At 42.8% G+C, this 27,122-nt stretch overlaps 1 protein-coding gene and 1 long non-coding RNA gene across 23 annotated transcripts in view, besides 3 other annotated features; both read right to left on the bottom strand.

The window, feature by feature from the left end:
- CTNND1 (catenin delta 1) overlaps positions 1-19,448 on the bottom strand; it is a 57,739-nt gene extending 38,291 nt beyond the window's left edge. For 14 of the 22 annotated variants that reach the window (NM_001085460.2, NM_001206889.2, NM_001085462.2 and 11 more), the window contains exon 1: positions 19,204-19,448. The gene's annotated coding sequence lies outside the window, so the exon portion shown is untranslated. Of the gene's footprint in view, positions 1-19,130 lie in introns of all 22 variants that reach the window. The other 8 variants (NM_001085458.2, NM_001206885.2, NM_001085459.2 and 5 more) reach the window with 2 other exon arrangements.
- Positions 1-27,122, bottom strand: part of TMX2-CTNND1 (TMX2-CTNND1 readthrough (NMD candidate)) — a 106,658-nt gene that overhangs the window by 37,931 nt on the left and 41,605 nt on the right.
- Positions 761-1,646: an enhancer, noted in NCBI's record as "NANOG-H3K27ac-H3K4me1 hESC enhancer chr11:57547076-57547961 (GRCh37/hg19 assembly coordinates)". NCBI's record gives its function as "activates a minimal SCP1, AML or CMV promoter by ChIP-STARR-seq in primed H9 embryonic stem cells {active_cell/tissue: H9 hESC(primed)}" and the evidence as "EXISTENCE:reporter gene assay evidence [ECO:0000049][PMID:30033119]".
- Positions 1,647-2,533: an enhancer, noted in NCBI's record as "NANOG-H3K27ac-H3K4me1 hESC enhancer chr11:57546189-57547075 (GRCh37/hg19 assembly coordinates)". NCBI's record gives its function as "activates a minimal SCP1, AML or CMV promoter by ChIP-STARR-seq in primed H9 embryonic stem cells {active_cell/tissue: H9 hESC(primed)}" and the evidence as "EXISTENCE:reporter gene assay evidence [ECO:0000049][PMID:30033119]".
- Positions 2,489-2,691: a silencer, noted in NCBI's record as "fragment chr11:57546031-57546233 (GRCh37/hg19 assembly coordinates)". NCBI's record gives its function as "represses an EF-1alpha promoter that drives an FKBP-Casp9 reporter gene in an ReSE screen in phorbol 12-myristate 13-acetate-treated (for megakaryocytic differentiation) K562 erythroleukemia cells {active_cell/tissue: K562(+PMA)}" and the evidence as "EXISTENCE:reporter gene assay evidence [ECO:0000049][PMID:32094911]".

The raw sequence follows: 27,122 nt of genomic DNA, 5'->3' as shown, positions 1-27,122 counted from the left end.
ATAGCAGCTTCTCGGCCAGGTGCGGTTGCTCACGCCTGTAATCCCAGCACTTTGGGAGGCTGAGGCGGGTGGATCACCAGGTCAGGAGTTTGAGACTAGCCTGGTCAACATGGTGAAACGCTGTCTCTGCTGAAAATACAAAAATTAGCCTGGCGTGGTGGCAGATGCCTGTAATCCTAGCTACCCGGGAGGCTGAGGCAGGAGAATCGCTTGAACCCAGGAGGTGGAGGTTGCAGTGAGCAGAGATTGCGCCATTGCACTCCAGCCTGGGCAATAAGAGTGAAACTCCATCTTGAAAAAGAAAGAAAGAAAGAAAATAGCAGCTTCTCACCAAACTTTCAATCTATGGCATTCCCCCACCTCTTTGCCCATCATTTGAAAATAACTTGGAAAAGGTGGAAGCATGTAATTGAGCCAGATTTACACAGTCCCAATTCCTCAAAACCCTGAAAAGACCAATAAGGCATTCTTTTCATCAAGTTTGGAGTATGTCTTCCTTTTGAGATAAGCAACAGGGAGACAGAGCATGTCAATCTATAAATAAATCAATCAGAAGTGTTAAGGTCCTTTCTTGGCTTTAGGACAGATAGCAGGAGGAAATGTTTCTCCTTATCTGAAAGAAGAAAATCCCATCTTGAAGGGGAAGAAAGTTGTGCATTATTGCTCTTCCCCTTGAAGTTATCATATAATCCTTTCAACACCTGCTGAGGTAATGGCCTCTTTTTATAAATAAGTATACTACCTATATACCAGAAGTATTTAGTATCTTGCCCAAGCTCATCAACTAGTAGTAAGTAGTGAAAACTCCTATTTTATTCCAAGTCCATGCTCCTTCTTGATAAAGTGGAAAGAGTATGAATTTTCTATGTTTCCTGGGGTTAAAAGTCATTCTTCGGGCCAGGAGAGGTGGTTCAAGCCTGTAATCCCAGCACTTTGGGAGGCTGAGGCAGGCAGACTGCTTGAGCTCAGGAGTTTGAGACCAGCCTGGGCAAAATGGCAAGACACCATCTCTACAAAAAATACAAAAAATTAGCTGGGGGTGGTGGCATGTGCCTGTAGTTCCAGCTACTCGGGAGGCTGAGGTGGGAGGATCACTTGAGCCTGGTGGTTCCAGGCTGCAGTCAGCCAAGATTGTGCCACTGTACTCCAGCCTCAGTGACAGAGTAAGACCCTGTCTCAAAAAAAAAAAAAAAGTCATTCTAGTTCCAATTAAGAAGTTAACCCAAAGTTGACATTTTTTTTACGGAGAGGGGAAGGAGGCAAGAGAAGGTGGAATGGAGCCAGCTAGACTTTTGGGTCTTATCTTCACTTTAAAGAACAAAACCTTACTCAATTTGGGAAGAGTAGCTTGCAGCCTACTTCAGATTTACCTTCCCTTTTATAAGAACCTAGTACTCAGGAGGAAAGGTGCTAAGAACAAAAGAGGCACTACTCTGTAAAAATTACCTACCTTACCACTGGCAAGCCTGCTCTAGAAAGCTGGCTACATGTCACATTCTCTGATCACCCCCTCAACCCTACCACAAGAAAAAAAATCCAATCCCTACTCTCATTTTTAATGTGACATCTCACTAAGCCAAAAGCAAAGATCAGAGATGGGGTGGGAAACAGAAGGAACTAGAGGCAGTAAAGATTGTGCTAGCCAGCATAAGAACAGAGAAGAAGGATTGTTCTAGTGGTATGTTAGCAATCTGCCTCTAGGGCAGCTGTCCTCCTGGACAATCAAAGGCGGGTTTGTGTGTGTGCTCAGGAACCAGCCAGCTTGGCTCAAAGTTAAGGACTCAGCCATCCAATCCACAAAGTGAGAAAAGATGCCTGTTTCACAGCTGGAATGGAAGGCAGGGAAAACACAAAACAAGAGAGAAAAGAGGGCAGAAAAGAGAGAGGGTATTACAGGTGCTATTTCAGTCTAGACATAGGGAAGAAAAATCCCAGGAAACTACCAACCATTCTCTAGTTATGATCAAACATTAGAGAATTGCTAGTAACTCTTAATACTAAGCGGGTAGGTTTCTCCTGATCTGTATGCAGTAGGGTGCCAATTGGAAGGATGAGATATAAAATGTAAAGGACCTCAGCATTACCTGTTTCCTTCTGTCCCTTTTAAACCCAACAAGGTACCTGCAACATATACAGCAAATGAACATTACTTAACATTTATTTCCTTCTAGAATTCCTTTCTTAATTAAATCCTAGAGATCCACAAAGAATAGCAGCACACACAAAACTCAGTAAGCTTCCCAGTGCTAAGAGATCAGGACCATTTATATAACTTAAGTGCTAAAACGCAAAAGGCCACAGTCAGAATTCACACTCTCTAATCCCTCGGAGTAGCTAGATGCTCCGAGACCCATTAGACACACAAAGGCTGCTCTCTTCTCAGCAGAGCTCTGTAGCAGAGCTGCTCTCCAGGGACAAAGAGATTTCACAGGAGAACCACAAAGACATCGACCCTCTCTGTTCCCCCACTCCCAGCTTTCTCACTTCCTGTCACAGTAGCACCAGACCACAGTCTCCCAGAAACAAACAAATACAAAGTGCTGGATTCTGGGCTGCAGGCCAACTGCATTCCAGGGCATCCTGTCTACCAATCACGGGCCAGAGCCCCCACTTTGCCCTGCTCAGCTCCTTATCATGTTCAGGGAAAACAACCCTCCTCTCTGCCCCAAGCCAACACTACGTAGGACAAAGCTCAGGCCTTTAAGAATCAGCAGAAAGACTGTGTGTGGATCTAAAAGTTTGAAGGGGGTGAGGGAATTTTTAAGATTCCTACTTGGCAAGTTTCTTCACTTTGGAGGCACTGCATTAGGGATTTTAAAGCTACTGATGCTGTTAATTCAGCTCAGCTACATGTGACACATCCCATTATGGCAATTTGATTACCAATCTGGATTCAGTCAATGGAATATTCCCATTTGGAGAACTACTTTAGGAACTTCACCTTCCCTATCATCCACCTCTGTTTTCAGCCTTTCAAACTTTCTCCCTACAAGCATAGAGTTGATTACTAAGACAGGCTCCACAGAGAACAAACAAAGGCAGCGGACTCCACCCTACAAAGAGGCAGTTTAATCAGGTGCTGGGAGCAAAGTTCCCCGTTTCCCTAGAGAATGAGAGGACAACCACTAGGAATTGCACAGAAGCCAAATCCTGGCGGCAAAGAGGTCAAGACAGCAACATCAGCTTTTCCTGCTCACAACCCCCTGAAGTGGGTCAGGGGCTGTAAATTTGGAGCCTAGTCAGAAAAGAAAGCCTCCTCTCCTAATAAAGGTCCTCCACTAACTGCAAGAATGAGATAAATGATACATTTTTCTATTATCTTGTACAACCCATTGGAAATTAGCCCTAAATCACAGAAGCAAAAATGCAAACAGAGGTTAAGCTCTATTAGCTAGAGATTCTTGAAATCCAAAGAAGCAACACCCTTTGCCCAAAGGGCTCAATTCCCTTTGCATAAAATGAGCAAGATGCTCAGCAGAGTCCTCCAACCAGAGGGGCACACCAGGAACTAACTGGTAATATGCTATCACTTCTTGTCTTGTCTTCTCCCTTTATTTTTCCTAGATTCCTTTCATCTTCTTAGATCTGCTAGAAGTAGTATGGGCCGAACCCTGGTCTAAAGCAGCACATGATACAAAGGAACTAAGTCTAAACAGACAACTTAGAAGGATTTAGTCCTTGGCCTGGCACAGTGGCTCAAGCCTGTAATCCCAGCACTTTGGGAGGCCGAAGCAGGCAAACCACTGGAGGTCAGGAGTTCGAGACCAGGCTGGCCAACATGGTGAAACCCCATCTCTACTAAAAATAAAAAAATTTGCCGGGCATGGTGGAGCACACCTGTAATCCAAGCTACTCCAGGTGGCTAAGGCAGGGGAATCACTTGAGCCCGGGAGGCAGAGGTTGCAGTGAGCTGAGATCATGCCACTACACTCCAGCCTGGGTGACCAAAAAAAGAAGGATTTAGTCCTTATCTGGATCTGGTATGACCAGGTGGCAAGGGTAGGGCAGTAATATACACAATAGCCATTCTAGGGTTGAATAGAAAAGAATATTTAGCAACACTATGGAACTTCAGCAGCAGAGCCCAGCCATTGCAAACTCTATCACTGAAGCATACACAAAAAAAGTTAACAGTCTCTTACTTGGCATGGTATCAGACTAACTCCCTTTATCTCTCAAGAATACTGAACAATTAGTTATGACTGTTAGTATTCTTATCCAATTCTTCCTTATGCATAGCCCAGACCAAATAAATGAGTTAATTAAGTACCACGGTGTGAAGTAGATATACTAAAGTAGATAAAAATAGTAGCTTTTAGTAGGGGAGAGTTTTCTGAGATACCAAAAAAAAAGTTGTAAAAGACACACCCCAGACAGAGAACTGAACACACCCACATCAATGCTGCTAATCCAAAAGGATGCTTGGCAAGTTCTCTGCATCAAATTGAGCAGGTGAGATAGAAAAGGAGTGCTGACTCAGAAATACAGTAATCCTGGGGTGTGAGGGAGGGAAGACGACAAGTATAGCCAACTGATTACAATTCAACTTAACTTCACCAGAGGTCCCAGTTCTAATTGTATCTCAGACTCTTTGCAGACATATTTAGAAAGCCCAACTAAAGGAATAATGAATGGATATGAAGAAAGCCTCTGGAGGGCCCAAGACCTAAGCTGAATACTCAATGGGTAGGAAGGATGAATCTGTTTTGCTGTCTAACTTCCCACACCCCTCTTTCTCCAAAGCAGGCCCAATGCTGAAAGAATTACAGGGAGGCGAGGCAGAAGAATGTGACTGGGAAAGGTTTAGCTACATTCCAACTAGCCAACATCCCACATAGCATTAAGAGTGCCTGAGAATTCAAACCCACTACATAAGAGTTGCTGAGACTCTGCTAACACACATCTAATTCCTGTGCCACCAACCCCCACCCCCAAACACTCTGAAGAGTAATTGAGATAGCTTGATGAAGGCACCAGCTGTTTCCACCACCACCCTCCCTCGCTCCCTCCCCTCCTGAGACCTCAGTTCAAACTCACATCAAACACTTAATACAATTGACTGGTCAGTAGGAAGGAGAAGCCTGAACTAAAATAGCAGTAACAGTGCCAACTGGCCCCACTTAGAAGGAATGCTTTCTTGGCTCAATTCAAAAATAAGAAACCTCTGTCATCCACTCCCCTCTGCCCAATTATGTTCTCCTTTCCACAACTTACCCCGCTCCGTGTCAAATGAGTTTCAGTTTCTTCCCTCCAACTCTTTGGTGTATTTTCAAATGTCAGAAAATACAAGGGAGGTGTATATAAGGTTGAATGTAAAAGTAACGTCTGAGAGATTAGGCTTCCCAGACTAAACTCAAACCTAGTACAGGGCTCCCATATAAGAACAAGGAAACAGGAGCACACACAGCACCCATCTACATGTTTCAAGTAAGGAAAAGAGTAAACCTTAAGCGGCTATACACGAACATTAGTGGTAACACGATTACTAACATAACCAGCCCCTCCCCCACCCATATTCCAAGTTGGCCAGAGTTAACCAAGGAGGAAGGGAAGGAAGCCAGCGCTTCCTTTTCAGACAGGAAGTAACATTGGCCCTTCCTGTCCAGTTTTAAACAAATTGTCCAGCTAAATTTCAATGCTAACATCCTCTCCTGAATTTGTTCCACAATTTAAAACCACAGATACAGTCTAAAGTTTTCCCTTCCTCCCAATAGGCGAGTCCTCCATACCATGCTAAGTGTTGGCATAACCCCCAAATCAAGAGGTAACATCTTTAATTCCAAAACAATACAGGACACAGAGGTAAATCACTTCACTTCAAATTAACGACCTTCTCGTCATGTCTACTACAATAAACCATCTTCTGTACTTCTCTTGTTTTGTGTGTGTGTGTGTGTGTGTTGTTTTTTTTTTTTTTCGAGACGGGGTCTCCCTATATTGCCAAAGCTGGTGTCAAACTCCTGGGCTCAAGTCTCTCCTTAGCTTCCTAAGTAGCTGAGACCAAAGGCACAGGCCACCGTGCCTGGCTCTACTTCTCACCTTAACTAAATAACCATCCACCTGAGAAATAACATATACATGTAAGCTTAATTCAAATATTCAGGTTTTGTGATCCTCAAACGTGAATGATCAGAATCACCTAGGGAGCTTTTTGAAAAAATTAAATCCCCCCTCTACATCAGTTTCTACAGGGAAGTCTGGGAATTCATGTCTTAAAAAAAAAAAAAAACCCTCATAGGCTGGGCATGGTGGCTCACACCTGTAATCCCAGCACTTTGGGAGGCTGAGGCAGGCAGATCACCTGAGGTCAGGAGTTTGAGACCAGCCTGGCCAACATGGCAAAACCCCACCTCTACTAAAAATACAAAAATTAAGCAGGTATGGTGGCGCATGCCTTAATCCCAGCTACTCAGGAGGCTAAGGCACGAGAATCACTTGAACCTGGGAGGCGGAGGTTGCAGCGAGCCAAGATCACGCCACTGCACTCCAGCCTAGGCAACAGAGTAAGACTCCATCTCAAAATAAATAAATAAATAAATAAATAAATAAATAAATAAACCCTCATAGACTCTTATGGCCTGTTGTGAACCACTGTAGTGGCCTATCCCTAACAACCCACTGACTTTCTTGCTAAAAGGGCACTGGTTATAAAATACATTATTTGGGCCAGTTTTACTGCTCACCAGACAGCTCAGATCATTATTCAGTCTAGATTAGAGGCTCTTTGAAAGCATGAATCTAAATATAAGGATGGCTGGAATGGCACAGTCCTAACTCCTGTACTGCAGACTTAGAACCTAGAAGGAAGAACTGTCTCACTTGCCAGCACCATCTTCTCTGGAATCCCGAGTTGCTACATTGTAGGATATCCCTCTGTACACTGCAGATTGGAGAACACAATTATGTTTAAAACATCTTAGATGGCCTTCAAGGAACAAAGAGCTATGCCAAATTTTCAAAACCTGGTTGCATATTCTATCCCAAAAGAACTCCAAAGTCTTAAATCTACCATTAAAGACCCTAGATAATTCTAAACCACTTGACAACAGAGAGAGAACCAGAAACTCTGGATCCAAGTGGTTACCTCTGACACTTATGCAAGCCACTTTAACTTCTGGTTTGAGTAAGAGCAAGCGAATAGCAAAAGGTCTTTAAAAGAACTAAAAAGTGAAATATTCCCACAAGTAAACATGTGTCACCGAAGACTCAAGAAAGAAGAATGGCATTAAAAGACATACTCTCTCCCAGATCCCAAAGTCAAACAATAAAGGTACATTTAAAACAAAACCAAAAATAAAATTGTTTTGTTTTTTGAGACGGAGTCTCACTCTGTTGCCCAGGCTGGAATGCAATAGTGCAATCTCAATGCAACCTCCGCCTCCAGGGTTCAAGCCATTCTCCTGCCTCGGCCTCCTGAGTATATGGAACTACAAGTACCCACCACCACGCCCGGCTAATTTTTATATTTTTTTTTTAGTAGAGATGAGGTTTTGCTATGTTGGCCAGGCTGGTCTCTAACTCCTGACCTCAAGCGATCCGCCCACCTCAGCTTCCCAAAGTGCTGGGATTACAGATGTAAGCCACTGCACCCAGCCAAAAAAATTTTTTAATTTAAAAAAAAAAAAAAAGACATAGCCAGGCGTGGTGGCATGCACCCATAATCCCAGCTACTCAGGAGGCTGAGACAGGAGAATCACTTGAACCCAGGAGGTGGAGGTTGCAGTGAGCCGAGGTCGTGCCATTGCACTCCAGCCTGGGCAACAAGAGCTTAAACTCCGTCTCAAAAAAAAAAAAAAACATAATCTCAGGTACTCTCAGGCTGGCCACAGTGACTCATGCCTGTAATTACTGCACTTTGGGAGGCCAAAGGAGGAGGATCACTTGAGCCCAGGAGTTCGAGACCAGCCTGGGCAACATATAGAGACCATGTCTCTACAAAAAACACAAAAAGTAGCCAGATGTGATGGAGGCTGAGATGGGAGGATCATTTGAGCCTGGGAAGTCAAGGCTGCAATAAATTATGATCATGTCACTGCACTCCAGCCTGGATGACAGAGCAAAGCTCTATCTCAAAAAACTCTCAAGACAACCACAAACATCTCACACCATCTATATATGATGAAGTAATACATATAAACCAGTTGTTTAAAACAATTTCAAAATTTTGGGTAATCTCTGATTGCCTGGATTATTTCCCATGCAAGACGATACAGTTACCTGAACAAAGGAGGAGATGGGAAGAAAAAAAGTTTCTTGGTTGAGGGCATCCCTAATATTAAGTAACCAGATGACAACCAGATAAGCATAATTAAAGGAAAGAACAGAGGGTAACCAGGTTAAGAGCCAGGGCTAAAAACTCCAAAGAGAGAGGAGGAGACGGGTGAGAGAAAGAGAGAGAAAGAGGGAGAGGGAGAGAGAGAGAGGAGACAGAGCGAGACAGAGAGAGAGAGAGAGAACGAGACAGAGACTCTCACTGAGGGACAGACCAGCTAAACCAGAAATCTTAAGAGGGAAAGTAACAGTGTGTGATTCAAGACATAGGTATTCAATCAAATATCCTTTTACTTTCGTATATGCATGGAACATCAAATCACTAAATAGTTGGTGCTTCTTCCTCAACTCCAAAGTCAACTAGGTAAAGTGGCTCAGGATGTGCTTTAATAACCTCTAATGCCTAAACAAACATAAGGAAAGTTAGTTTCAGGGATAATCATCTCTCCCAATGTGCAAGACAGAAATACGGATATGGTGACCTATAAAGGGGTCCTCAAAGCCATGAATTCTCAACAATCAGGGCATGGGGAAACAGGAGCTTTTTGGTCAAATGAGCAAAAGGAGAAGCAGCAGACAAGTGGGGCAAGCCTATTTGGTCAAAAGCACATAAACCAAACCAATAAATTTTGTCCTCAAAAGGAAACTGTACAGGTCTAGGCTGTCACTCCTGCTTATAGAAAACTGACTAGTTAGATAAGAAGATGGAGAAATATACAGTATTTCTCTTGGAAAGAAAAATTTGGGGGCTGGGCACAGTAGCTCACACCTGTAATCCCAGCACTTTGGGAGGGCGAGGCAGGCAGATCACTTGAGCTCAGAAGTTTGAGACCAGCCTGGGCAACAGGGAAAAACCCTGTCTCTACAAAAAAAAAAAAAAAATACAAAAATTAGCTGGGTGTAGTAGTGCATGCCTATAGTCCCAGCTACTCAGGAGGCTGAGGTGGGAGGATGGCTTGAGCGTGGGAGGCGGAGGCTGCACTGAGCTGAGATTGTTAACACTGCCGAGACAGACCTTGTATCAAAAAAGAAAAAAAAAAAAGAAAAAGAAAAATTTTGATCCCACTTCCCAAAAACATATCAGCTTATTCTAAGTAGCTGCCTTATTATCATTCTCTAAGACAAAGGTAATCAACCTATGCAAAATCTGCTACTATGCAAATTATCTGCTAACTATACTTTCATGGAGATTCCACAATGGGAGAAATATGGAGGTTGGGTCAGGTGCTACCTCAAGTTACAAGAAAGACACAAAAATTCGGTAACAGCCGTTGTCTCTGGGGTTTGAAGTGGAGATAATTTTTCTTTGTACAATATAGTATACAACAAGACCCTACATTATTCCCCTTCCCCCAAAATACATTCCCATTGGTCCTCTCTGGACAGGTCTCTTACTTCTCCTTCCCTCCCCTCAATCTCTTTTGTTCATTGGCAATAACCAGCCTCAGGGCCTTTGCACTTCCTACTCCTCATATCTACATGACTCCATCCTCCATTTCTCTTGGTCTCTCTCAAACATACCTTACACATGAGACCCTCCCTGACCACTCTATATAAAATAACCTCACCCCCACCCTGAGACGTTCTTTCCTCCATACTACTCATTCTACTTTACTTTTTTCTCAATAATATTACCACACTCTGACATACTACATATTTACTCGCTTATTATTTGTCTCTCACAACTAGAATGTAAGCTCTTTGAGAACAAACAGTAGGTCTATTTTGTTTATTGTTGTACTTCAGTGTATGGCATAAACAGACTCTCAAATTTCTTTTGAATGGAGATGTTTTACTTCCTTCTTCAATGAATACAAAAAGTTAAATTTTAGAAAAAAAAAACAACTTTCTTTTCTTTTTCTATACTTTTTTTTTTCCAACTGTGATCTTAGTTAGGCCTATGAAGAGGCCTAGGTAGTCTTACCTGCCTATTTGGCTGACCTTCAGCACGGTAGACATCCAAGAGGCCAACTGTGCCCCAGTTAACAAAGTAGTCAATAGAGAGCAGAACAGCAATGAGGTTACAGAACTTCCCCCATTCCAACAAAGCAGGAAATAAATCAGATTGGCACCAATTTCTCTTTTAAAATAGGCTATTTTAAAAGTGTACTGAATATACACCAGCTACTTTATTTCAATGAGATTTACTTCACTTGCAATGAAATGGGAACTGCAGGTGCTTTGATAAAGGTATTGAGAAGTTGACCTAGTTTCTATAACAATGTCTTATGTCCTCAACCATGAGAATATATTTTAGTTTCTTAAAATATGAGCTTCCTAAAACAAAAATCTTTTCTTTTCTTTTTTTTTATTTTTTTATTTTTTTTGAGATGGAGTCTCACTCTCTCGCCAGGCTAGAGTGCAGTGGCGCGATTTCGGCTCATTGCAACCTCTGCCTCCTGGGTTCAAGGGATTCTTCTGCCTCAGCCTCCTGAGGAGCTGGGACTACAGGCATGTGCCACCACGCCCAGCTAATTTTTGAAATTTTAGTAGACACAGGGTTTCACCACGTTGGCCAGGATGGTCTCAATCTCTTGACCTCGTGATCCGCCTGCCTCGGCCTCCCAAAGTGCTAGGATTACAGGTGTGAGCCACCGAGCCCAACCGTGTAACAAAAATCTTTCTTTTTTTTTTTTATTTTTTATTTTTGAGACGGAGTCTCACTCTGTTGCCCAGGCTGGAGTGCAGTGGTGCGATCTCCACTCGCCGCAACCTCCACCTCACAGATTCAAGCAATTCTCCTGCCTCAGCTTCCCGAGTAGCTGGGATTACAGGCGCCCGCCACCACGCCCGGCTAATTTTTGTATTTTTAGTAGAGACAGGGTTTCACCATTTTGGCCAGGCTGGTCTCAAACTCCTGACCTCAGGTGAACCACCTGCCTTCGGCCTCCCAAAGTGCTGGGATTACAGGCATGAACCACCACCGCGCCCAGCCACAAAAATCTTTTCACTCCACAAAGATACCTCCTAATGTGCTACTGCACTACAACATAGAACAACATAGAAAGCATAAATAAAACAGATGATTTACTCCGGAGAAAGTAATTTTTTTTTTGCTCAACTGTCAACTAAACCAAAATGAGTAATTAATCAAGAAATGCAGATGAAATCTAAAAATCAAAGATAAAACCAATCTGAATCACTAGAAGAGATCAGTCTTCTTGGATTACAATTGTATGCCTAAACTAGATCTAACTGAAATGAAGTGGTATCCTAACAGTTGTACCTTTAGCACATGGGTACAAGAAACAGAAATACGTCTTTATGTTAACTGTTAGTGAGGCAAAGCAACGCCCATGAAGACCTAAGGGAAAACCTAAAGGGAAAAAAAGGAAACCCAACCTAAAAGAAAAAAAAGATAGGGGAGGCAAGAGGAGGCAAAGAGAGACAAAGGAAGACACCACAGAGAACAGGAAAGCAAAAGAAAAGGAGAAAATACAGGAGAATTGGTAGAAGAAATTATAGGTAAAATAAATGTGAGGAACTGAATGTGGGAGGCTACAGAGTGCCAAAAGAAATTAGCTTAAATAGCCAGGCAAGGTGGTGTGTGCCTGTAGTCCCAGCTACTCCAGGGGCTGAAGTAGGAGAATCACTTGAGCCCAGGAGTTGGAGACAGGGCAACATACCAAGACTCTGTCTCTCTGTTTTTTTTTTTTTGAGACGGAGTCTCGCCCTGTCGCCCAGGCTGGGGTGCAATGACATGATATCGGCTCACTGCAACCTCCACCTCCCGGGTCCCGGGTTCAAGCGATTCTCCTGCCTCAGCCTCCCGAGTAGCTCAGATTACAGGCATGCACCACCATGCCCAGCTAATTTTTTTTTTTTTGTATCTTTAGTAGAGACAGGTTTTCACCATGTTGGCCAGGCTGGTCTCAAACTCCTGACCTCAAGTGATGCGCCTGCCTCAGCCTCCCAAAGTGCTGGGATTACAGGTGTGAGCCACCGCGCCCAGCCTCTGTCTCATTTTTAAAATAAAAATGTAAAAAAAAAAAATTATTCAAAGAAATTGGCTTAAGTACTATTTAGAACACTAGTTTCATGGGTTCTTAAGTATGAAGAAAAGGGAGGAAAAGAGAAGGAAAATTCCTAGGCTGGAATAAACCCGCAAGTTTCTAGGCAAGGTTGTATCTAACACATATGTATTTCCCACAGACCACAGCTTGGCTTTTCCACATATAAAAGCTGACTCCTTTCTTAGAAGCACACTTCTCACAGGAAGCATTCATGAACTCATGTCAGTTTTATAAATGTCCACAAATAAGGGTTGCAAATACAGAATGATGTCTGGCTGGGCTTGGTGGCTCACGCCTGTAATCCCAGCACTTTGGGAGGTCGAGGTGGGCGGATCACGAGGTCAGGAGATCAAGATCATCCTGGCTAACACAGTGAAACCCCGTCTCTACTAAAAATACAAAAAATTAGCCAGGCGTGGTGGCGGGCGCCTGTAGTCCCAGCTACTCGGGAGGCTGAGGCAGGAGAATGGCGTGAACCCGGGAGGCAGAGCTTGCAGTGAGCCGAGATCGCGCCACTGCACTCCAGCCTGGGCGACAGAGCAAGACTCTGTCTAAAAAAAAAAAAAAAAAAAAAAAAAAGGATGATGTCCACAAATCATACAAATCATTCTGTTTATCTTCCTCCCACTGACACTTCACTTTACTAAAGTTATCCATTCTCATACTACCGTTGTTTTGAACCTCACCCACACAACTCTCCAATATTACCTATTACTAATTTTTTCCCATTAAAAAAATTTAAAAGTTAGCTTTACCCACTCAGGAAGCCCATATATTCTGTAATGCAAGCACCTACATCTACCACAGATTCTCAGGTTTTAAGAGACCTTCGGACGGGCATGGTGGCTCACGCCTGTAATCCCAGCACTTTGGAAGGCCGAGGTGGGTGGATCATTTGAGGTCAGGAGTTCGAGACCAGCCTGGCCAATATGGTGAAACCCCCTCCTCTACTAAAAATACAAAAATCAGCCGGGCGTGGTGGCGGGCACCTGTAGTCCCAGCTACTCGGGAGGCTGAGGCAGGAGAATTGCTTGAACCCGGGAGGCAGAGGTTGCAGCAAGCAAAGATTGCACTACTACACTCTAGCCTGGGAGACAGAGCAAGACTCCGTCTCAAAAAAAAAAAAAAAGACCTTCAAGGGCATTAGTTCAACAAACGAAATTTGAGTTCTTTGAAGCATCCATTCTAATAGCAAACACAAGACATTACTAGGAGCTCTGCATTACTCTATAAAGTTCACATACATTAAATAACTTAAGTGTCACAACAATCTATAAGATGGTTAATATTATCCCCATTTTACAGACAAGGAGGCCAAGGCAGAGAGAGATTAAGCAATTTGCCCTAGGTTACATGTTTCCTCCGTGGCAGTCTAGCTCCCCATCCATACTCTTAATCATTATGTTATGCTGCCTTGCCTCACCATATTATGGAAGTCTCAGATTGGAAATTCCCTTTTTGGTTAGCATATTTACCAAAAAATATAGAATAAAGCATTTGTGGCAACATGTTAACAAATGATACCTAGGCAAATGAAGAGTATACCAGTTACTGTGCTAGAGCAACTTTCCTGCAAGTTTGAAATAAAAAGTTGAGAAGTGCTTTTGTCATCACATCACATCAACCAACCTGGGACATGTTTTGTGAAAGTCATGACCAAATTACCTACTGCTGACCAGCAAGGAAGGCTTTAAGATAAAATTCTGGCCGGGCGCAGTGGCTCAAGACTGTAATCTGGGAGGCCAAGGCAGGCGGATCATGAAGTCAGGAGTTTGAGACCAACCTGGCAAAAATGGTAAAACCCATCCCTACTAAATATACAAAAAATTAGCAGGGCGTGGTGGCGCGCACCTGTAGTCCCAGCTACTTGGGAGGCTGAGGCAGGAGAATCGCTTGAAACCGGGAGGCGGAGGTTGCAGTGAGCTGAGATCGTGCCACTGCACTCCAGCCTGGACAACAGAGCAAGACTCCATCTCAAAAAAAAAAAAAAAGATAAGAAAATTCTTTGCCTCTTTATAATTCCCCCACTATATGCCTGATCTAAATTGTCCACACCACACCAATCAAACTGAAGGGCTCACTGGAGAAGAAGTGGCCCTAAAAACAGGGAACACGATCCCTGAATAAAGTGGTAAATTCAGGCCCCATTCTCAATGCTTAATATTTAATAATAACATGCAATTCCAAGTAGAATTAGGGAAAAAAATTACTTCCGAAAAATACATTAAACAATTAAATACAAATCAATCCATACCCTAATTTCCCCCTCATTAGTTCTAACCAGAACAGTTGTTCTTGCCTTCTTACAATCTCCCTGCCAGGCTACATCAATGCTCTATTGGAAACCTTGGAGGCAGCTGCATAATTTAGGCAGAGCAATCCCTACTTCAGCTTTGTGTGTCATTTAACCCTTCTTTGAGGGAAGAGAACATGAAAGAATATTTGTACTTATTCACATCCTTATTACCTACAGTTCACTCCTGTAGGCAAGTTCCTTGTTAATACCTTTTAAATTACCCAAGAAAACTAATTTCGGTTCTTAAACTCATAAGCTTCCCAATACATGAACAAAATCTAAAGTTTTGTGGCTAAAACAGTGATTTAAAAAATACACTGATATCCAAACATACTTTCTTTGAAACACTGATGTTCAAAACTATCATCCCAAGCTCTTAACGTTTTTATTAACAAGCACAGAAACCATTCACCTCCAACCAGGGCTGAAAGCAGTACTTTTCTGCTGATGTCTTAATATACTCTCCCCTAGAAAATGGCAACATTTAAGGTTTTCAGTGTTGAAGTTCATTATGAAATGAACGGACTAGGATACTTATTATTTATTTATTTATTATTATTATTTTTTGAGATAGGATCTGGCTCTGCAAGCCCAGTCTGGAGGGCAGTGGCATGATCTCGGCTTGCTGCAACCAGTAGCTAGGACTACGGGTACATGCCACCACGCCCAGCTAATTTTTGTATTTTTTGTAAAGAGGAGTCTTCACCATGTTGCCCAGCGATCCACCCACCTGGACCTCCCAAACTGCCGGGATCACAGGCGTGAGCCACCGCACCAGGCCAGATCCTTACTTTTTATACTATTCTTTGTACCACTTGCCAAGAAAGGAACAGGATTAAAGAAAAGCTAAAATTTTAAATCCTCCATTATCTCTAGAAACTTTGCTTAAAAATATAAGGGAGGGCCAGGTGTGGTGGGGCACACCTATAATCCCAGCACTTTAGGAGGCCGAGGTAGGAGGATGGCTTGAGCCCAGGTGTTTGAGACCAGCCTGGACTACATAGAGAGACCCCATCTCCACAAAAATACACAAAAATTAGCCAAGCATAGTGGTGTGCACCCATAGTCCTAGCTACTCAGAAGACTGAGGTGGGAGCACCACTTGAGCCCAGGAGTTTGAGGCTGCAGTGAGCCATGATTTCACCACTGCACTCCAGCCTGGATGACAAGAGCAAGACCCTGTCTCAAAAAAAAAAAAAAAAAAAAAAATTAAGGGAGGAGACGCATAAAAGGTTAAAACTACAGACTACAGTAAAAGTTGCAAAAGTACATTGCAATTTGATTAATCTATGTTGTTTTGCTTCCTTTCAAGCCTTCCCCACAAATCAGTCCCTCACTGATTCTCATCAAATGCCTTATTTAACCAAGGCTTACTGAGCACCTCAGTATGTACCAAACACTAAGACAGGTGCTAAAAAGATACAGAGATAAGACAGTACCTACACCCAAGCTGCTCATAGTCTAGAGGGAAAGACAAGAATATCTGAACTACCTCCTACAAGCCTGTCCCTGCAAGTTGATGATATCCTATCATTCCAAACCACATACCTAACAAATTCTCTGGAAGAAGAAATTTTACTGATAAACAACGTGTGACACAATTCCAGGAAGTTTAAGAAATTAGGACAGCAATGGTGGGCATATGGATATGGAAAGATTCTCGTTCTAAAGATTAAAATAATATCCATTCTAGCACATCCAGCTCCCCATGGGCTCTATGGAAAATAGATCTTTTGCATACATTATCCCAACAAGGGTAGTGGGGAGTTGGAGGGAGTTGGAAATTTAAGTGAGTACTGCCCCTGTGCCAAGATGAAACACTCCTGCCTCTAGCAAGGGCTCGTTTTAGTTCGAGCTGTTGTTTCCATTCTCTCTGGAGAATGGCAGTATATTAGTGGTTAAGTCCATGGACTTTGTAGTTAGTCAGACCAGGGTTAATCCTGGCCTCAACCATTTACAGGCAGTGAGATTTTCACCAAACCTCAGCTTCTCTGAGGGTCAAATTCCTTAAAAAACAAAACAAACAAAAAAACCAGTGGTGGGAAATTAATAGTTTATGCAAAATGCTTAGAATACACTAAAAACAAGGTGTGGGGAGGTAGGGGGGAATGAGGGCCTTGGCAGTTACTAACAGGGTACCAAAATAGAAGGAGATAAATTATACAAAGCTAATCATTTTGTTATTCCAATTGATAGTGATCTATGCTTAATTTATTTGCATCCATCCTATCTCATTCATCCCTGGAGAGCAGCTACTTCATAAACCTAAGGCTGGATTGTAATTACTTAGTGCTTTTCTTTTTGTTAATATCACCAATAGTCTCAATTTTACCCTAGCTCAGAGAACATGTTGGAGCTTCTCTGACTGTCCATGCTGGAACCCTGAGAAAGGTACTAGAACTCCAACCACCTAAAAGAGAACCGCCCCCCCGCCCCGCAATCTGGAACACAGACCACTACCTTACTCACATAACAAAGAAACCAACCGTACATAGGAGGCAAACAAGGAAAGAAATATCTGAACAGCTCATACTTACCTATCATCATTTTTTACCCCAAAACCAAGACAATGAGCAAAACAAAAAATTTAAAAAATAAAAGATTTACTTATCTGCATCCCTTATAATTCCTGAAAGAACCAGTGGAGGTGAGGTAAAAGACAAATCTTCCATCTTATCACCCCAAAGGCTCTGTACTACACACCAGTCAAAACAACCCTTAGTTCGTGGAAATAGTCCTGGACACTAGGTTAACTAGGATGCTCACTTCAGCTACACAAAGCCCACTATTTAAAGCTAGACCCAAATCACCACCACTCAGTCATCCAGAACCTATTTTCAAACTGCCTTTGTACTCCTCCTTCAGATTCCCTCATCCCTCCCCCTAAAGGTTGAGTGGGAAACAGACACTCTGGAAGCAACATGACCAACACTCTAAAGATCCAAGAAACCTCCCCAGGCTGGAGTCAAGGCAGAGAGAACATTTGAAAGAAAATTTGGAAAATATTAAACAAGAACTACAGTTCAACAGCCTATACACATTGTATTTTTTCTTTCTTTTTAACTGTACTTGTTATAATTATGAGATTCAGACATCAAAAATTTCCTGCAGCCTTTGCCTAGGTTGTATTTGAAGGAGGAACAAAGTTCTGTTTCCTCCTGAAGCCACAACTTCACAAGGATGAAATCGTCTTTCAAGAAATACCCTCATTCTAGAAAAGAAATTCAAGGAAGTCTAGTCTTAAAAAAATTTGTGGCAGGGGGGTGAGGGGAGAACGAAATCAGATTATTAAAGATCCATACCAGTTTAAAGCTAATGAGCAGCTTACACACTAAAGCCCATCTTGTTACAATTAGGACAGCATCTATAATTTTCAGGCGGATTCACATTTTCAAAAAGAGAAGAGAATACCCTAGTTTTTCAGCTACTGATGAGTTGGCTATATAATTATCTAGAATCCGTACTTTTGCAAGAATGTATTTGCAAAAACAAAACAAATCTTAAGATTAAATATAAGATATGAAAGCACAGTCATGGGCCTTCAGCTCTAAGAGATTTCAGATTTCATGGTAAATTAACTAAACAATAAATTCAACTCCAAAAAACAACTTTCAGGTTGGTTTAAAAATAAAAATCTCCCTTGTTTTCTGAAATGTATTTTAAACACTAAACTTTGTATAAATGGTTTTTCTAAACCTAATTTTATTCCACCCTTGGCCCTTTCAGAGTGCAAAAAGCTGAAAATATTTTCAGGTATGTTGCCACTTTACTCAGGTGAAATAAAAAGCATGATTAGAATTTCCTTATCCCTTTAAACACATAAACCAAACGTTATCGTATTTGCAGATTTAACAAACACCTCCACAAATCTTTGCTATCAAAGGTAGTTTAGAAGGAAGAAGGAGATGGCAATTCAGTTAACATGGTTCCATTTGTTTTCTTTTATAAGCCAAAGAAGGGAGACTACATCTAGCAGGAGAATGAGGCTCCCACCCACCGCACCTGGAAAAGTAAGAGGGATCCACCCAGGAACAGCAGGGCTGAAACCGATACGGGCCGTTCAAACTCTCTGGGGGAAAAACAATACCATTTACACTGCAAAGCTCCCTGCAACTTTCCACTTCCACAAATCCAATGATAAAAGAAAAAAAAAGTTTTAAACATATGAAGAACCATCGGTATAACTGGGTTCCGACACGGACAAATTTCTTTCCCAACCCACATGCAACATGCCAAAAAACCAACTTTTGATTTGGGCTCTGAAAACAGAAATATGTTAGCTTAATCCAGAAAAATAAATAAATAAAATCAAAGAACACACCAAAATGTAAATTTTCAAACCTGCTCTTACCCCTCTGGATCTATTCAGCTTCCTGTATTAAAGAGACCTAGAAGTTTGTTTCTAGGTCTTGTATATTTTACCTTTTTAAATATAATAAAATACCAAAATCTCCCCCGCCAAAGTACTGAAAGTAGAAAAGAAAAATAATTGCTTAAAAGTTACTCATCAGCATAACAGACTCTCCCGTTTTTTAATTCCCTCCGGTTACCGTAAGACAAAAATTCGACTTGCTTATCCTCCTTTTCCCGTCAGTACATACATTTTCTTCAAAAGCCACACACCTCAAATGTGGAGTTCTAAAAATCAGTCCTTTAAGAAAGAAACCCAAGGCTTCGCCAAGGTGCTGAGAAAGACAAATCCAGCAGGGCAGTTGATTTTTCGCCACCTCTTCCTCCTTTCGGGATCTTTCCTGCTCTTCTTTCTCTCTCTCTCCCTCTCTCTTTTTTTTCCCCCTCAGATCCAACACCTAAAATGGAAGTTGCACCCAGCCAAAGGCAAGGGAGCCTGGGTGGTGACAAACTGATCTGGCAGCCCTACCCCCTTCGCTTTCCTAAGTGATGTCAGCCCCTGTGAGCTTCCAATAGGAACCAGGCATAAATCAGGGAGCTGACCTTATCCAATAGGAAACTTTATTATAGAAAATTAAAAAAAAGAGAGGAGAGAAAGACAGGGGGAAGTTTATACATATATATATTTATATTTATATATTTATATTTAAAGTGGAGAGACTGTACAATCTCTGAGGAATTACTGCAGAGCTGAGGGGGGCGGAAGAGGCAAGGGAGACAAGGAACAAGGGCTTTTTAGAATGGTACGCCTAAGTCTCAGTTCTCTTTGATGATGAGTTCTTGCTCCCTCTTCTGTACTATCCCAGTGGGGAAATAGAAAAGAGCTGATTTTACTTGCCTGCTGCTGTTTGGTTTGTTGCTTCCTACCCCAAAGCATTTCCCTAAAGGAAGACGGGAAAGAAAGGAGAGAGAAATCCTAAAAACAGGACTACTATATGTTGACTGGGATGGTAGGGGATATCTGAGGTAAACTCAGTTTCACTGTTTTGGATTAATTGCATTAGAGCTATTTTTTTTTTTTTTTTTTGAGATGGAGTTTCGAGCCCAGGCTGGAGTACAATGGTGCGATCTCAGCTCACCGCAACATCCGCCTCCCAGGTTCAAGCGATTCTCCTGCCTCAGCCTCCCGAGTAGCTGGGATTACAGGCATGTGCCACCATGCCCAGCTAATTTTGTATTTTTAGTAGAGACGGGGTTTCTCTATGTTGGTCAGGCTGGTCTCGAACTCCTGACCTCAGGTGATCCACCCGCCTCGGCCTCCCAAAGTGCTGGGATTACAGGCGTGAGCCACCACGCCCCATCTAGAGCTATTTTTTTTTTTAATGCCTAGACTTGTTAACAGTTTTAATCTCCATACTTTGAATTAGAAGGAAGCAGAATCCACTGGGCTGTTAAAGAAAATCACTGTCTTCCCAATTTGTCCCCAAATCAAAATAATGTGGGTTTGTTGGAAAGAGGAAATGAAATCCAATAAACAAGCAATATATTTAGAGGGAATAACAGCATAGGTAAAGAAAGTAAATCTCATGTCAAGAACATTTTATGCCGGGCGCGGTGGCTCACGCCTGTAATCCCAGCACTTTGGGAGGCCAAGGTGGGCGGATCACCTGAGGTCAGGAGTTCGAGACCAGCCTGATCAACATGGAGAAACCCTGTCTCTACTAAAAATACAAAATTAGCTGGGCGTGGTGGTGCATGCCTGTAATCCCAGCTACTCGGAAAGCTGAGGCAGGAGAATTGCTTGAACCGGGGAGGCAGAGGTTGCGGTGAGCTGAGATTGTGCCATTGCACTACAGCCTGGGCAACAAGAGCGAAACTCCTGTCTCAAAAAAAAAAAAAAGAACATTTTATTTCTTTGTGAACTTCAAGCTTAAGATGATCTAGCTTATACATTCTCTTTTTACATTTGACCTAAATAAAGGATTATTGGGGTATTATTTTTCTGAGTTAGGACATATTTTTAAACTGTTAGACCATGATGGACAGAGGCTGGATTTTTTTTTTAACATGCTTGACAAAGATTAGCATTTTATGGTTATTCCCTGATTACTAAAACAAAGACAATGATGAATCAAAGATTTCCTTCTTCTTTCTTACTAATCTAAAACTTACCCTATAGACTGCTGCCAAATGAGTCTTCATCAAGTTATCAAAATCTAGAATAGAAATACGAAACCTTGGCTGGGCACAGTGGCTCACACCTGTAATCCCAGAGCTTTGGGAGGCCGAGGTGGGTGGATCACCTGAGGTCAAAAGTTCGAGACCAGCCTGACCCAACATGGCGAAACCCCGTCTCTACGAAAAATACAAAAATTAGCCGAGTATGGTGGTGGGTGCCTGTAATCCCAACTACTCGGGAGGCTGAGGCAGGAGAATCGCTTGAACCCAGGAAGTGGAGGTTGCAGTGAGCCGAGATCATGCCATTGCACTCTAGTGTAGGTGACAAAGCAAAACTCCGTCTCAAAAAAAAAAAAGAAAGAAATATGAAACTTTAAGAGTATAGGTTTTCACAAACTGCCTAGCTTCAAACTCCACCTCTGTAAGTAAGTACACTTACTCAAATATATGTACTATTATGTGACCTTGACCCAAATTAAATAATCTGAACCTCAGTTTCCTTAACTATAAAATGGAGATAACTATATCTCTCTCACAAGACTGTTGTGGGAATTAAAATACACAAAAAGTTCTTTGGGCCAGGCACCGTAGTTTAAGCCTGTAATCCTGGCACTTTAGGAGGCCGAGGCAGGCGGATCACCTGAGCTCCGGAGTTCCAGACCAGCCTAGCCAACAGGGCAAAATCCCGTCTCTACTAAAAATACAAAAATTAGCCAAGCGTGGTGGCGCACACCTGTAGTCCCAGCTACCCAGGATGCTGAGGTGGGAAAATCGCTTGAACCCGGGAGGCAGTGAGCTGAGCTCGTGTCACTGCACTACAGCCTGGGCAACAGAGCGAGACTCCGGTTCAAAACAAAAGTTCTTAATGTATGGCATGTAGTATAAACTCACTAAGAATGCATTATCATTATTTTTATTATTCAGTAACTACCCTGCCCAAAAACTTGCAGTGGTGAGCCACTGCCCAATAATAGCAACCAATGATGAAGTGTCTACCATGTAAGAGGTATTTTGAGCTCAGTACTTCAAACTTCTAAAACATGACCACAGAAATAGTACTACAACCATTCTACAGATGAGGAAATCAAGGTCCAATAAGGTGAAGAAATTTGCCTGATCTCATCTGGCTAAGTGAACCCTCACCAGTCTCACTCCACAGCCCATGCTCTTTCTATTACGTTACACTATGGTCAAGATAAAGGTCAAGAGAAATCCTAGAAACAGGACTACTGTATGTTGACTGGGATGGTAGGGGACTATCATCTGCTTTGAAGGCACCACATTTATTCATTCAGTACATTAAAGTAACACATTATCAACCATAATCTGACCTTTCTTTACCTAGATAAACTAGAATTCAACAACTCAGCATGAATGTGCTTTTAATCATGCTGATGTAGTCATTATCCACTCCCTTATATATATGGTCTATAGTCTCATAGACCTATATTTGGTCTATAGTGGCCAAAAAGGACTTTCCTCAGAAGTGTTGAAAAACCAAACATGCATTACAGCACTTGTTTGATGGGCTTTAAATAAACTACAGCTGAAAATGAATACATTATAACAAAGATATGAACAGCCTTTAAGCCTCATTACCTAAAAATCTTCTCCTTTTATCACATTTTCTACCTCTATTCCCCATCAATTCCTAGTCCTCCATAGCAAGTTCAAAAGCCAAAGATAATCACCAAAGGAAAACAACCAGCCCAAAAATGTTTGTTGATTCATTGATTCCGAGATCAAAGCCACATACTAGAATGTTACATGATTTTCTACAGACAGATTGGTCTTGTTTGTTGAAGACATCACTACTCACAACTTGCAAGTATTTTGTCTTCCTTTTTCTTTTGTTTTCATTTGTGTGTATGTATACTTCTGTCTCCCCCATCAGAAGATAAGCTCCATGGGCTGGGCGCAGTGGCTCAACGCCTGTAATCCCAGCACTTTGGGAGGCCAAGGCAGGCAGATCACGAGTTCAGAAGTTCAAGACCAGCCTGGTCAACATGGTGAAACCCCGTCTCTACTAAAGATACAAAAAATTAGCCGGGCTTGGTGGCACACCACCTGTAATCCCAGCTACTCGGGAGCCTGAGGCAGGAGAATCGCTTGAACCCAGGAGGCAGAGGTTGCAGTGGGCTGAGATTGTGCCATTGCACTCCAGCCTGGGTGACAGGGTGAGACTCTGTCTCAAAAAAAAAAAAAGTTCCATGAATAGTGTCTTTTTTGCTCATGGTCTATCCCCAGAGCTCAACCTTGTAACTCATATTTAGCAACAACTAAATGAGTGAATAAAGTCTCTTAGCTTGCTAGTTATATATGCCTGGTCAAGGTATTTAAAATTAATGAACATTTAAAATAGGCCGGGTGTGATGGCTCATGCTTGTAATCCCAGCACTTTGGGAGGCCAAGGCAGGTGGATCACTTCAGGTCAGGAGTTCGAGACCAACATGGCCAACATGGTGAAACCCCTTCTCTACTAAAAATACACGCGGGGCATAGTGGTGCATACCTGTGGTCCCAGCTAATTTGGGAGGCTGAGGTAGGAGGATTGCTTAAGCCCAGGAGTTCAAGGCTGCAGTGAGCTGTGTTTGTGCCACTGCACTCCAGCCTAGGTGACCACAAAGTGAGACCCTGTCTCAAAAATAAAATAAGGCTGGGTGCAGTAGCTCACACCTCTAATCCCAGCACTTTGGGAGGTCAAGGCAGGTGGATCACCAGAGATCAGGAGTTCCCAACCAGCCTGACCAATGTGCTGAAACTTCATCTCTACTAAAAAAACAAAAATTAGCCAGGTGTGGTGTTGCACCTGTAGTCCCAGCTACTCGGGAGGCTGAGACAGGAGAATTGCTTGAACCCAGGAGGTGGAGGTTGCAGTGAGCCAAGATTGCGCCTGCACTCCAGCCTGGGCGACAGAGTGAGACGCTGTCTCAAAAATAAATAAAATAATAAATAATAAAATAAAATAGGCTAAAACTATAAATGCCAAGAAGAAATTTTAAAAATTCAACTCCAAAAACCCCACTGGTTATCCATACAAAGAAAAACAAAATATTTTTACTCCTTTCCACCCTCTGGTGGTTACACATTACAATCAAAGTTTGTCATTTTTGAAGCCCTGGATAGGATGGCCATTTATCAATCCCTTTAGAAGTTCTTTTTATCTTTTTTTTTTTTTTGCTCTGTTGCCTAGGCTGGAGTGCAGTGGTGTGATGTCAGCTCACTGCAACCTCCGCCTACTGGGCTCATGCCAATTCTCCTGCCTCAGCCTCCCGAGTAGCTGGGATTATAGGTGCCCACCACCATGTCTGGCTAATTTTTGTATTTTTAGTAAAGACAGGGTTTTGCCATGTTGGCCAGGCTGGTCCCAAACTCCTGACCTCAAGTGATCTGCCTGCCTCAGCCTCCCAAAGTGCTGGGATTACCAGCCTGAGCCACCTTGACTGCATTAAGAAATTCTACCAACACAAGATTTAACTAAAATGATGTTAGATTAAAAAAATAAGAAGTCCTCTCCACTTCTTGAAAATTAATTTAATCATCATGGCAATATATTAATGAGAAGACATACATTTATAATTTCCTTACACCTCCACAGAATCATCTATACTGGTACTCTACCTGCCCAATCAAGTCCTGATTCTATAGTAACAGATGCCATAAACAAGGGTTGTTCTGCCTTCTCTTTTGTTTTCCTTGCTTGTTTACGTGTGTGTGTGTGTGTGTGTGTGGTGCTGTTGTTGCTGCTACTGACAACATCTAAAATCTGTTCTCCTTCTGCTAAGTTTTATGTCTTTCACTAATTGCTTCTTCTTCAAAGTAAGACAACGGCAACCAAAAATGTTTTCTGTTCTTTGTTTCTTTCTCCATCTCAACATCACAGGCCTCAGCATAGGGGAAATAGTACTTGACTTGGAAATGCACTCCCCACACCACCATTTCCACCAACAACCTCAAATCCTTTTTGAAAAGGTGTTAGATATCAATAAAGACATTTGGGCACACTGTACCCTCACCCCTCTATGTTTTGTCCCTTTGCACGTTCCCCTTGTCTTAGGCATTTTTCTTCCTTTCTACCTCCAGTTGGCCTCAGTGGGAGCTGGTTCATTTCAATTCACCCCACTTTGTCACCAGCGGCTTTGGATTCAGCCATTCTCACCCAGAGCTAGACATCACAGAGCATCTACTGAGGGGCAATAACTGAAGCCACGGCCCAGGTCCTAACATACACAGGGGAAAGAACTGCTGTCCAGAATTATACCATGGGTTGGCATTCTCTGTAAATATTTAATCTTGAGATAATTAGGCCAGGCACAGTAGCTCATGCCTGTAATCCTAGCACTTTGGGAAGCCAAGGCGGACGGATCACCTGATGTCAGGAGTTTGAGACCAGCCTGGCCAACATGGTGAAACCCTATCTCTACTAAAAATACAAAAATTAGCTGGGCATGGTGGTGAATGCCTGTAATCCCAGCTACTTGGAGGCTGGAGAATTGCTTGAACCCAGGAGGCGGAAGTTGCAGTGAGCCAAGATGGTGCCACTGCACTCCAGCCTGGGCAACAGAGGGAGTCTCTGTCTCAAAAAAAAAAAAAAAAAAAAATCTTGAGATAATTTAATTTTTAGTATCATCCCTGAAAACAGCTGATTCCAGTCAGGAACTAGGCTAAATAAATTGTCTCTGGTCTGGGCTCGGTGGCTTATGCCTGTAATGACAGCAGTTTGGGAGGCCAAGGTGGGAGGATCGAGTGAGCCCAGGAGTTTGAGACCAGCCCGGGCAACATAGGGAGACGCTGTCTCTATTTTTTTTTTTTTTTTTTTTTGAGACGGAGTCTTGCTCTGTCACCCAGGCTGGAGTGCAGTGGCATGATCTCAGCTCATTCCAACCTCTGCCTCCTGGGTTCAAGCCATTCTCCTGGCTCAGCCGCCCCAGTAGCCACCCCAATGTGTGCCACCATGCTCAGCTAATTTTTTTATTTTTAGTAGAGACAGGGTTTCATCATGTTGGCCAGGCTAGTCTCAAACCCCTGACCTCGTGATCCACCTGCCTCGGCCTCCCAAAGTGCTGGGATTACAGGCGTGAGCCACCGCGCCTGGCCGACCCTGTCTCTCTTTTAAAAAAGAAAAAAAAGAACAAAAACAGCTAAAGAATGAAAGAAAGAATGAACGAAAGAAAGAACACACAGAAGAAAGAAGAAAAAAAAGAAGGAAGGGAGGGAGGGGGCAGAGGAGGGGAGGGGAGGGAGGGAAAAGAAAAAGAAAGGAAAGAAAGCGAACAAGAGAAAGACAGAAGGAAGGGAGGGAGGGAGGGAGGAGGAGGGGAGGGGAAGGGAGAGAGGGAAAAGAAAAAAAAAGGAAAGAAAGCGAACAAGAGAAAGACAGAAGGAAGGAAGGGAGCGAGGGAGGGAGGGAGGGGGAGGGGAGGGGAAGGGAGGGAGGAAAAAGAAAGGAAACAAAGCAAACAAAAGAAAGACAGAAAGAAGGAAGGGAGGAAGGGAGGGAGGGAAGGAGGGAAGGGAAAAGAAAAGAAAGAGAAGAGAACAAGAGAAAGAAAGGAGGAAGGAAACAAGGGAGGGAGGGAGGGAAGGGGAAAAAGAAAGAGAAGAAGAAAAAGAAAATCAGTCCAAGTGCGGTAGCTCACGCCTGTAATGCCAGCACTTTGGGAGGCCAGGGTGGGTGGATCACCTGAGGTCAGGAGTTCGAGACCAGCCTGGCCAACATGGTGTAACCCTGGCTCTACTAAAAATACAAAACTTAGCTGGGCATGGTGGCATATGCCTGTAATCCCAGCTACTCAGGAGGCTGAGGCAGGAGAATTGCTTGAACCCTGAGGTGGAGGTTGCAGTGAGCCAAGATCACGCCTTGCACTCCAGCGTGGACAAGAAGAGCGGAACTCTGTTTCCAAAAAATAAATAAATAAATAAATAAAAGAAAAACAATTAAATCAGCCAGGCATGGTGGCACTTGCCTATAGCCCCAGCTACTCGGGAGGCTGAGGTGGAAGGATTGCTGGAGC

The sequence above is a fragment of the Homo sapiens genome, chromosome 11, assembly GCF_000001405.40.
Source record: "Homo sapiens chromosome 11, GRCh38.p14 Primary Assembly".
NCBI classification, from domain to species: Eukaryota; Metazoa; Chordata; class Mammalia; order Primates; family Hominidae; genus Homo; species Homo sapiens.
Note: the sequence above shows the minus strand (reverse complement) of the source record. Positions and strands in the feature narration are given on the sequence as shown.